Raw genomic sequence first — 12,738 nt, 5'->3', positions numbered from 1 at the left:
TTAAGTTCATAAATCACAAAATTGAAAGTCAATTTATTAATAAAAACCCAGCTCAATCTCTGCAGAAAATCACCTACCTCCTAGATACAGATGTATAATACTGTTCTACCACTTATACATCAAGATAGAGATTATAAAGATTATAGTCAACATTGTCAAGTAAATGGATCCATGGAGGTCCCAATGTTTAAAGCTCCAAGTTTTGAGGATAAACAGAGGCAAAATTATTCCTCAGAAAAAAAAGGCTCATGACTACACTGAGTCCTCTTCTGACTCCTTAGTAATGACTTAGGGACTGTGGTAGATTATTTGCAAAGATGACCACAAAGTCCCTTTCTTATTAAACATGTGACTCTAGCTTTGCCACCTCTCTCTCATTGAGTAGAGTCTATTTCCCCCGTCTTGAATCTGGGCTGGGTTTGTGACCTCTCTGATTAATGGAATGTGGTGGAAGTGATGCTGTATGACTTCCAAACCTTTACCTGAAAAGATCTTCTACCTTCTACCCTTGCTGCCTTGGAACCTGGGACCACCATGCTGTGAAGACTCCAGGGACATGAGGCCATGTGGAGAGAGTCCCAACCATTACAACCATCCCAGCCATTTAGCCTGATCCCCCACACTGAGTCTGTTATTGGTGTTCTTGTAATCTCCCAGGATAGAAATCAAGAGAGATCACCAGCCACAGCAGCAAAGAAAAAGAGAAAGCTTCATTTAGCTGGTGCACAGGGAAAGGCAGCACCATGGAAGGTAAACAGAGGGCTGTGTCCTGAGCGTAGACTATGTGTTAGTTTTATAGGTCCTATTCTACAGAAAACGATTTCACTGGGGCATGGATAGGAGGGATTTCTCTAGCACTTGCACAGTGGCTTTACATGCTTCTTCATACAATTCATGTAACATTAACATTTTAAACCTCCACCTCTGAGTATGATTTTTAGCATTAAAATGAGAAAAAAGATCACTGTGAGTTGAAGCTTAAGCCTAGCTGTGCATTCAGGTCCTCGGTGAAGTCCCTAGCCCCAAAACCAGGAACTTGTGGTTAATAGTTTCTTGGGCCTTTGATGCTGATTGGCTGTAGATGAAGTAAGATACAGGTTGAGTTAAGGGGTCTTTGTTCTTTTTCTCCAGACAATATCAAAACAGAAAACCAGCCAGCTCGTCTGTCTCAACTGTAGCTCATGTATGAACTAGGCAATTACAGCAAAAGAACTACCCAATCAATATAAGCAATAATTTGTTGACATTTTCAGATACCATGGCTTGGGTTGGTTTGTTATGCAGCAAGAGATAACTGTTACAAAGCACAAGAATATTACAGAAAATACAGAGAAGGACTTTACCATTTACTCAATGATTATCCAGTGACAGTTGTGGAAGCAACTGCAACACTCATTTTTACTGTTCTATATTCACGTTATTTTTAAGTCCCAAAATATCATTATTCTTATTGGTACCATGTTATATTTTCTGTATATTGAGAAATCTAAAACCCAAATTATGTATGCCATGAGCCTTACCTACAGAATCATTACCTACAGTAATGTTTTGATTCCAAGAAATTTGCCCTCATTTTGAAAGTATTCTGAACATATCAAATAAATAGATCCATGGATCCTTCATGTGTTTAAAGTCTTTTTGGGTTAGCTTACTATTTTAATTTCCATTTCTTAGGTTAATTGGGAATCTTTCATGTTTATAATTCATTTTTATTTCCCCAGAGTTAATTTGGGCCACAATCAATTCCAAGGTCTCTGATGGAGTGGTTTTAGCATGGAGGTGGGAGAGAATACTGAAAGCAGGAGGGAAAATATGTTTGAGGTGTTAGGAGAGGAGGAACATGGAGATGAAGTTTCTTGGGCCCAATTCTCAACCTTCTCATGAGGCCCAAAATCTTCCTTTATTCCAGAGCTGAATTCCCTCAGGGCCCTTCTGCTTCACTTGCTTTTTTTTCTTTGTATAACTTCAACTTCTATTTTAGATTCAGAAGTTACATGTATAGGTTTGTTACATGGGTATGTTGTTTGGAATACCGATCCTGTTACCCAGGTGATAAGCATAGTACCCAATAGGTAGTTTTTCAACTCACACCCTCCTCCTTCCCTTCCTTCTCTAGTAGTCCCCATGTCTATTGTTCCCATCTTTATGTCCATGTGTACCCAATGTCTAGCCCTCAGATGTAAGTGAGAACATGCGGTATTTGATTTTCTGTTCCTCTGTTAATTTGCTTAGGATTACCCAAAGGAAAACTAATTGTTCTACCAAAAAGACACATGTACTTGTATGTTCATCACAGCACTATTCACAAACCAAAGATGGAATCAAACTACATGCCCATCAACAGTGAATGGTTAAAGAAAGTGTGGTAAAAATTAGCCGGGCGTGGTGGTGGGCACCTGTAGTCCCAGCTACTCAGGAGGCTGAGGCAGGAGAATGGTGTGAACCTGGGAGGCGGAGCTTGCAGTGAGCGGAGATAGTGCCACTGCACTCCAGTCTGGGCAACAGAGCAAAAGAAAAAGAAAAAAGAAAGTGTGGTACATATACGCCATAGAATACTACACAGCCATTAAAAAGAGCAAAATCATGTCCTTTCACTTGGTTTTTCCTGTTAGAGACTGGTTCTGGTTTTTAGGGCCTCGCTCATTCCTCCTTTAATAATATTTATCTTAACCAAAACAAGCTTCCTTGGTCATCCTCCCCGACGAAGCTCTGCTCACTCAGGGGACTCAGGCCTCAAAGACTGTGCCCTGGACAGACTCCTTATCAAGTGCAATAGTAAATGAGAAATCGCAGTTGAAAATGATGGCGATTCTATTTGATTTTTTTCTTGTGCTATTTTAGTATTGGATAAATAAATACGAAAATACTGAAGTACTTATTTTGCTCCAATATTGAAATCACAATGTGAGAGCTTGTTCACTACTGCCAAGAGCTGAGTTTAATTTTGATTTCAAGATTTAACACTTCCATAGTCCTCTAGCTCACCTCTTGATGCAGCCTCTGGCTTGTTTCCTCACCAGTCAGGTACACTACGACTGATCACCATTTCATAATTAATCCTTTGAGGGATCCATGGACTTCATTCAGCCTCACCTGTGGGAAGGGACATTCCCATTATTACTGGCTGAGGCATGAGCAAATCTTCCAGGCTCTGTGAGGCCCCTCTGTGACCTTTGACTTCATGTCATTTGGGTTTATGCAGCATTCTTACTTCTGCTTGGCCAAGAGTGTCTCAGTGTGTCTTTTATCCCTACAGCCCCATCAGACCCCAAAATAATAGTAGCAATTACTTTTTGAGCACTTACTACGCACAAGTTACTGTTATAAGAATTTTGTAAGCATTCATTAAATGGTCACATTATCATCATCATCATCTTGTTGTTACCCCTTAAGTCCTGTGGCGATATGTTTAGTCACTACTCTCGATAATATGAAACAACTTAACACCAATTTTTTCCTGCCTTGGGGCTTTATCCAAATTTCCAAATACTTATTACAGAAGCTTAAGAAATATTTTATCTCTTCCACAGCTTTGTAGAGAATTGCAACACACATTAGCATAGCAAATCTTGATAAGTTTATAATTATTTTTGAAACTTATTTAATCTTATTTAATCCAATATTTCCTAACATTATTAACTTTGGAAACTTTCTCCTGTAGTAGTTAACAGTTCTGCAGAACATTTTAGAAATGGTAACATAAGTATAAACAACAAAACAGTGAGATTCTGATACCAACTTCCAGTTCCTCCTCACCAAGACTTCGTGAAAACTCTTCAGCTCATCTGGCAAAACAAACAGGTTATGTTCTGGTTCCTTCTGGATGTTCTTTTTAATATCTCACACTTTTCCAGGCTTTTGCTGGTCTGTAATTGAAAGTCACGTTTTCCTATGGAGGCCCTTAATCTTATGTTTCTGTATAACTTATTAAAAGGTTATTTTAAGGGCATGAACGAGAGGCCTCTTAAAGTCTCACTCTTCTTACTGCCCAGAGGTAGCTGGGCTCTGTTTGTTGTATGCTGCCTCTTTTTTTCTAATTAGAGTGATCTGTTTGTTATCTACTGTCTGGGTCCTGGCTGATCTGTTTTCTCTCTTTGTGAAGCAGGGAGGGTGGAGTTTTTAAATATCCTTTTGGCAGGAAGCATAACTTTCTGATATGAATCTAAACTGGGAAATCAATCTCTCCTCAGGCAAAGACGCAGATACCAGGACACTTCCTTTTGAACACTTGGCTGCAGAAGCTAAGAGACATGGGGTAAGGAGATGAGAGATCTATTCCCAATACTCCTAATGATTTTCTTCTGCACTTAAGAACAGAATATCTGGGAAAACATGTTATATGTATGAAGTTCTTCATTGTCCAACAGCAAGCTCATAGATACAGGTCAAACCAATATCTAAAGACACTGGTGCTTGATAGAGACTGCCAGAACAAAAATCCAGGAGAACCATTACAAAGTCATTTAACAAAAATAGCTCCTGGCATTTTAATCTTACTCTGTGATTCTGGTGGTAGTCAATTTCACACTATTTTGATTTATTTAGCACTGAGAATGGTACTGCCTATATGTAGATCTGAGCTAGCTGACATTTCCTAAAGGAATACAAAATCGCAAAAGAAAAAATTTGTATTATTATTATTATTTGTATTAACCACTTGAGGTATTCTTCTAAAATAACATTCTAAGACAGCATTGCCCAAAAGAAGTTTCTGAAATGATGGAAATGTTCTGTAATCTGCACTGTCCAATATGGTAGCCAACAGCCACATGTAGCTATTAAGCATTTAAAATTTGGCTAGTGTGGTGAAAGAGCTGAATTTTAAATTTCATTTAATTTTCATTCAGTTTAAATTTAAATAGCTACATTTGTCTAGTGGCTACTGTACTGAGCTGTGCAGCTCTAAGAAGCTTGCTGTATAGTTAGCCAACAGAAGTATCAAATCAAAAGGATCTTTGCTTGTGTTTTCCGAAATTAAGTGAAAAACACACAAATCATAATCTGTAGTCTGCCATCTATGTTTCTATTTATGGTAATGTTTATGTGTGAGTTAGTCATGTAAGAGACATAGCAATGTAGGCCATTAAACATATTGAGTCTCTAGGAGGCACCATGCCTGGTACTAGGTGCAGGAGAAGATAGCAGAAATCACACTAGACAAGGTTGTGAAAAGCAATTTATAGTATCTGGGATAAATTGATCATGGAATAAGAAACAAAACAAACAATTAGGCAAAATAGTAATTAATGCACTAAAGGAGAATGTTAAGTATTCACAAGCCAAAATGTTTAAATGAGTTGGGTTTTCTTTTACTGACAACAAAACAAACAAGAAAACATAAAGCTGGTAAGGAAATCTTAATCTCAGACTTGTTTGGTGATGATCTCTTGTTACTTTTCTTCTGCCTAACACCAGAGTTCAGCATCCAGATCTCGACTGAATACATTCTGAGTCCTAGTGGATTCAGAAGCTTAAGCATTCAACAAAAATAATGCATTCCCAAATACTCCTAAAACTTAACTTTAGTCTGGGTTGGCCCGGGTTTAACTTTTAGTCATTTTTTTTTGTAACTTTAGCACACGGCAAAATAAAATTGAAATGTCAATAAAAAAATATACTGCCAAATACATTGGAACATTAAAAAGGCCACAGGGGAGATTTTGACAACTAGTGATAAGTTAAATTTAAAGTGACATAAGTACATACAGTTGGCTAAAGTAAGTATAATTTACTTGTCAATATAACAGCCTTTAAAAAGATCACAAAATCAGGAGGTTATAAACCATTACATGAAGATTGAGTTATAATATTCTTTCCAAACATTAGCAAAGTAAATTGAACTGGATGAAGCAAAGAAATGTACAGATGAAAAAAAAAAGGTGAAGGAAAAGTAAAATGTAATACAGGAGGAATAAAGTAGTTGAAAAAATTGGAGTGAAATAGCCAGACTCCAGAGGGAAATGGATTCTTTAATGTGATATATCCATAATCTGATTTTGGTCTTAAATGCAAAGTAAAACTATGAAAAAAGCATTGATATCATAATGTGTTCTCTTTGCAGATACGCGAATTGATTCTTACATAATATGAGAGATATAGGTGAGTCAAAAGACTGCAGAACTTCCAATTTTATCTCCTCAGCCAGTTATTAACCACTCATTTTTTGAAAGTCCAACATTAAATGGATACCAAAAACCTAGTTTCATTTATTTTGCTCTGAATGACATTTTATAAGTTTAAAGTTCTCTAGCTTCAAGTATTTTTCTTATGCTTTAGTCTAAACATTATTTGATTTTACTTTATCTTATTAAATTATCTTAGTACACCCCTTAATGTATGTATGTTAAAATGTTTAGAAGAATCACTTAATTTCTTCGTTAATCTATTTTCTGTTTTAAAAAAGCCTTAATACATTTTATTTATTTTCCCACTCAGACTTTGTCTCAAATTATTCCTTCATTATCTTTTACTCTCTGATATGTAAGACACTGGCTATAATTTTTTTAATCATTTTAAGTTAGTCCTGTTCTACATATGCAAAATGATGTGGGAACTTGACATCCCATACTGCCTTAAATACTCAAGATTTATTTGAGTTGTTTGTCTATCTTCAGCAATTGCCTCAGTTTACCCTACCCATTTCTTGGTTACCTGAAACCCTCCAACAAGCATCCCTACAGACAGATTGCTTGGTCAGGGGTGCCCTGAATGAAGTTAGATGTATTTGCCTACCCAGTCTCCAACGCATGAGAAGATGACATATGATTCTCATCTTACAAAAGAAGGAGTGATGTCAGTCCAGGTTGTCATGAGTTGAGTCTGGATGTAAAACTTGAAGTGATTCTGGAACATAGAGATAAGCTATCTCTGACCTTGAAGACATGCAACTTTTGAGTAAATTACTCAGCTACGGAGATCACGGCAGGCATGAACTACAGGTGGCTAATAGCCTATATAATTTTGGTGTATATACAAATTATTGTCATTTATAGGGAACTGTAAAAAAAATACCAAAAACATTTTTGTTTTTTATGGGTTTTTTTTGTTTTGTTTTTTGGCTTTTTTTGAGACAGAGTCTCGCTCTGTCACCCAGGCTGGAGTGCAGTGGCGCAATCTCGGCTCACTGCAAGCTCCACCTCCCGGGTTCACACCATTCTCCTGCCTCAGCCTCCCAAGTAGCTGGGACTACAGGCACCTGCCATCATGCCCAGCTAATTTTTTTGTATTTTTAGTAGAGGCGGGGTTTCACCGTGTTAGCCAGGATGGTCTCGATTTCCTGACCTCATGATCTGCCCTCCTCGGCCTCCCAAAGTGCTGGGATTACAGGCGTGAGCCACCGTGCCCAGCCACTTATGTTTTTCTTTTTTTAAAAAAAACTCTAAATGTGTTGGGTGTTGGTATAATTTGTATTATGGGTTTCTTAGGTTTTTATGTTCACACTTTATAGCCTGGAATCCCTAAAACATACAATATTATATAAACTTAGCTCTATGTATAAACTATCATTACTCAACTACTTGAAAATATTTTAAATTGTGATGGCTTTCATTTTGGTCTTTTCTCAAAGGAGATTCAAATGTAATTTTTTTCCTATGCCAATCTTTGGGCATTTTAGCATTGCTGCCTTATAAGAACTTCCTTCCTCTTAACTGGCTATAAATTATTAGCCTATTAATTGGACATTACAAAGTAAAGAAATTTCTTTAGTTAAAAATATAAATCTTATTGAAACACAGACACAAGAATGATTCATTTGAATACTGCTAACAATTGCCCCTTCCACACACACATTGAAAGCTATGTCCTTACTCTCCAAGTTAAATGTGAGTGATAATTAAAATGTAATATTAAAAGTTTATCAAAACTTATATTTCTGTAAAGTATTTACGCCCCATACACCAGAAGACTATATAACTAAAGTGGCATATATTTCACACATTATGATAGAAATCTATTTTTTCAGGTATCAGTAGAAAACTGCAAACGTATACTTCATACAAATGTAAATTAAAATTATAGCCATTCTTTCACCACAGGAAAAACGTCGGAAGGATATTTTCAATCATGAAGTGTGTAGGTACACTCATTAACCCATGGGAATTAACCATCTGGCACATTATATCCTTACAGGTTTGAAAGAAAAATAAGTCCTTCTCAACAAAACACTTTCCATTCACTATGCAGAACAGTCATTAATTGAACACTCACTGTTGAGTTGAAACACAAGGAAATAAGATCTGTGGCACAGAAGCAGGTCACCCTTAAAAAGTTATTAGAGCCCCAGTGACATTGATAAAAGACCACTTAACAACTTTTTGCCAAACCAAAGACTCAATAATAAAAAAAGACATCTGTGTACAAAAAAGTGGTTCCAATCCTGGGCATCTGCAGTAGTTTACATTCCAGGTCTGTTTATCTATACACCTATAATAACATTCCATAGATTAATCACTGCTCCTCCACCCACAGATCTAGTTTTGGAAGATGATGGTACATTGAATAAACCTGAAATGCACCTGTGCTGACATGCAGTCCAATTTCATTAGTCTCTGTGATACTACAGAACCACCAAAACAGCAACCCAAGACCTTCTTACCCCAAATAAATGGGACAAGTAGTTAGATGTTAAGAACAAAAATGTTGGTAAAAGTAAAATTATTTACCCTAATATTCCCACACTAAGACAGTACACTATAACTTCAAGCAATGTAAATTATATATACCTTGTTAACAAAGAATCATAAAAACTAAACATTTGTTCTCTTACAAAATCAATTCTTATCACTCTGTTAGGGGACCATAGTAGTACAGGAGGATGTCTTCATCTGTTGAGTAAGCATTACTTGAGTGCCTCCTATGGATTCACATTTCTATTTGAGGCTTAACAAAACACAAAATAAGTAAAGGATGTTGCTCAGGAATTCAGACTGTAATTAGGGCAAAAAGCTACACACACATGAGTCAACTTGTAAATAATTCTTAGGCTACAGGTATGTTTATAAGATTATTCTGGAAAAATCTTAAAACCACTGTAAAGTAAATTTAATCAAAAAATGTTTCTTGTACCAGGTAAAACTTAATATATGAGTTTGAAAGAAACGGAGGCTTTGGATTGGAGGGGAAGAAATGGAAAAACATTACCAAAGAAGGAGAAATGACAGGGGGGAGGGGAGAAGAAAATGTTTCCTTGCTAGAATAGAAGGCCCCATGAGAAAGCAGTGAGGGATGAATTGTGAAAGATACAATGGGGCTAATGGAGATATCGAACATTGGATATTGAAGTATAGGGTTTGAAGCAATAGGAAGATACTCTACATTTTTCTTTTTCAGAAAACAGAAATACTTAATCCTTTTTCCACAAATTAGAACTTGCTTTATCCTCAGAGCATAGCTTGATATGCATACATACACACTTAACAATTTGTTTCACAAAGTGTTAGTTAGACTGGTATTGCAGTGCAGCACTTGGGAGCAGATCATTGCAGGAGAAAAAGATGTGAAAAAAGCCACACTTCTGACTGGTCATCTGGAAAGTCAACATTTTTCTAATTCTATCTTGTTACTTATTATTCCAAATTATTCTTTATCATAATCTTTCTTTTCAGGGGAGAGAATTATTATGAGAAGTGCCGCCATGAATTTTTCTTTCCCACCATCAGTGCAAGAGCCCAAAATGTTCTCAATCAAACCCACTCACCCACTTCCAGAAACATGTCAACCAGGGTGATCAATCCATCTCCTGAAATTTCCGTTTCTCCCAATACGCTGTGCTGCCAAATTCTCTGAAGTCCCTGAACCTCAAAATTCCAAGTATCAAAGTCAGTGCCAGGAGTCAAACCTGAAAGATAAAAGCAGAGAAGTTCCCCTCTGCCAGCCCTGGGTTTCCTCTTCTCAATAATAATAATTATAATAACAATAATTTTTTTAAAATCCTAGTTCCCTGTAATTATGGAAAAGAAAAACTTTTTGCCAAGATTGTCTCCTCCCCTTTCCTCATTCCCGTGCCCCCATCCGTCTGCCAACAAGGTCTTCTCTCCCACCTGAGGGCTGGACCACACGTGATTCCCGTGGCACGCTGCTTCTGAGCACTCTACAGCCGCCCTCTAGCCAAACCCAGCACCGGTCAGATGGGGAGAAACCAGAGATAGGAAAGTGCTCGCACGTGGGAGGTCACAGTGGAGCCTCCGTGAGAACCTGTGAGTGACCTCCAGGGCATCCTAATTCTTGATCACTCATCACTGCCTCATTTCTATCCCTCTCCCCAACCCTGACCTTCGACACTGGGGGATCTGAGTGAAGGGGGACCTGCCTGCAATCAGGGCCCAGGAGAGGAGGGGAGAAGGGGGCTCTTTCGCAGTCAGTCAGTGATTCAATCTCAGCTTGTCGAAGGACTACACTGGAGGCTTTCCACCACTACCCCAGTCGGTTCCAACAAAGGTAAAAAATGAATGTTCCTGATTTTCTTGTGTAATTCCAGTCACCAGAAGAAGGTTACAGGCCATGAACTGCAGACTCAGGAAGATAAATTGGCAAAGCAGCACCGCGATGGAAGAGCTCCTGGCAGCAATGTAAATACTGGAGCCCAGTAGAAAGAGTCTAAGTCGAGGAGGCATGAGGACAAGATGATCAGTAATTGCCATTGATTGCATGGGTGAGATCTCACCATTCCCATACATTCACAGAGCAACCCACAGAGTGAACTATATACCAAGTGAGCAGAGGATAAAGTAGGATGATCACAGGAAGGGTTAACAGGCCCCTCCCTAACCTGGAGAACCCTCACAACATTTGCTCAGCAATTTAGGACAAGTCTGCTTTTTATCCTGCTGTAGATACCTAAATGAGCCCAGTATCCCAGTTAAGTCCTGAAACTCCAAAATTCATGTAGGCTCATATGCCATCCTATTGACATTACCACTCTTTTGCTGGTTCCCCCACATCATCTCTCCAATTTGTGTGACTATCCCACATGCCACAACCATTTTTAGTTTTTATGTTAGCTCTCATTCTAACTGGCTCTGTGGATTAATGTTTTAATTTTGATCTTACCATCCCAATTCCTACCTCAAAGCCTTTCTCCTAGTTGGAATCTAGCCTCAAGTCCTAAGTGCCATGCACCCTTGAGATTCACATCCTCGTCTATTTTGTGTCCAATTATATCTTCTATTCATTTGAATTCACGTGAATAATTAAAATCAGAATTTGAATGGTCTCTGCTACTAAATCTACTTTTTAAAGTATATGTAGTTCAGGAATCACTCTAACGTCCTATGTACTCAAACTAGAGAAGTCTTATACTCCTTCCGGAGCCAAATGTATTAGACCACAAAGCCTTTGGCAAAGCCCTTGGCTTTTGCAATTCAGACTAGTGCCTGCGACAGTTCCTTTGCAAGTTAAGATTTGGAGAGTTTACTAAACACATGAAAGACTGAAATTATCTCCATAGCCACTTCCTTAATACTCCATTCTGTGTTACTCTGAAAGACAGTTTCTTTAAGTCCAAATTTCTAAGGAAAGATTCTTTGCGCAAGACATTCCTCTAGCACTTCATGCTTTTCCTTGGAGAATTTTCTCAAACACTTATAAGACCAAGTACAGTTTATAAGGCCAGCTACTTTTCAGATATTGAAATCCCTCAAGCCTTAACCCCAGGTGGTATGGCCATAAGCACAAATTTTCAGGAGAGTCATGAATTTTTAATAATTTTTTTGGTGTCAGTAGGCTTTTGCTTTTTTTCTTAGCTTATTCACTTTCCCACTCACATTTGTATGCCATCTCTTCAATTCCAGTTTCAAAACAAGACAGCAAAACTTTTGAAAACAGAGTTAAGAACATTTGACCACTTGGTACACAGAACAGAGTAGCAATAGCCTCTCCCCATCCCCTTGATTAAACATCCCAGACCAGAAATAAATGTTAAAATCTCAAATACGGAGATAGAATTCTACTAGGTGTCAGCTGTTCCAGAGTAGCTTTAAAAGGCCAGGCTCGGAATACCACATTAGACACAGGAATTCTGAAGGCTGAGAACCTAGTCCCATTTATTAGTTCTTTCATCCAACCTCCACTAACCAGCACTGGCTCTTACTATTCCATTCCACCATAGAGGCTATAAAGATAAATAAGGTTTTGTGCCTGCCAGATATATTTCTTCTTGGCTTAAAGAGAGACATATTGCTGTCGTGCATACAGCTTATCTAGTGAATACAATTTTCCCATCTACTTTTATTCATCTTCAGGTCCTCTCAGTTTCTGCCTAAAGTTTTACCTATATTAACTCTAGTATCTTGGTCTATAGAGGGTACCCTACAAGTGTCTGTCAAATGAATGAAAATGCAAAGGACCAAATGAACATACTATGTGCCAGTTACTAGGTAAACAAGAAAGACATGGTCCTGACCACATCTTACAGTTTGCAGAGATTACAATGGAATAAACAAGTACTTGTGAGAGGTGACAACGTGCTAGCAGCCCTTGCTCACTCTCGGTGCCTCCTCGGCCTTGGCGTCCACTCTGGCCATGCTCAAGGAGCCCTTCAGCTCACCGCTGCACTGTGGGGGACCCTCTCTGGGGCTGGCCGAGGCTGGAGCCGGCTCCCTCTGCTCGTGGAGAGGTGGGGAGGGAGAGGAGCAGGCAGGAGCCGGGGCTGCATGTGGTTCTCGTGGCCTGGCACGGGTTCCGGGTGGGTGCAGGTGGGCCACGCACTCGGGCTGGCCGGGGCCTGCTGGGCTTGATCAG

General features: G+C 38.6%; 1 long non-coding RNA gene across 2 annotated transcripts, besides 1 other annotated feature; it reads left to right on the top strand.

Moving 5' to 3' along the window:
* Positions 1 to 668: 668 nt before the first annotated feature.
* On the top strand, positions 669 to 11,211 carry LOC105375638 (uncharacterized). Of its 2 annotated transcripts, none has more exons than NR_188051.1 (6): positions 669 to 750; positions 3,662 to 3,801; positions 4,191 to 4,255; positions 6,062 to 6,099; positions 10,046 to 10,196; positions 10,478 to 11,211. It is a non-coding gene; the product is annotated as an uncharacterized LOC105375638 (long non-coding RNA). The 2 variants fall into 2 exon arrangements; NR_188050.1 differs by having other exon boundaries at positions 10,027 to 10,196.
* Positions 9,886 to 11,085: an enhancer, noted in NCBI's record as "BRD4-independent group 4 enhancer chr8:93415274-93416473 (GRCh37/hg19 assembly coordinates)". NCBI's record gives its function as "activates an origin of replication core promoter dependent on BRD2, P300/CBP, MED14 and CDK7 cofactors, and independent of BRD4, by STARR-seq in HCT116 cells {active_cell/tissue: HCT116}" and the evidence as "EXISTENCE:reporter gene assay evidence [ECO:0000049][PMID:35650434]".
* Positions 11,212 to 12,738: the final 1,527 nt, after the last annotated feature.

The sequence above is a fragment of the Homo sapiens genome, chromosome 8, assembly GCF_000001405.40.
Source record: "Homo sapiens chromosome 8, GRCh38.p14 Primary Assembly".
In the NCBI taxonomy this organism is placed as follows: domain Eukaryota; kingdom Metazoa; phylum Chordata; class Mammalia; order Primates; family Hominidae; genus Homo; species Homo sapiens.
Note: the sequence above shows the minus strand (reverse complement) of the source record. Positions and strands in the feature narration are given on the sequence as shown.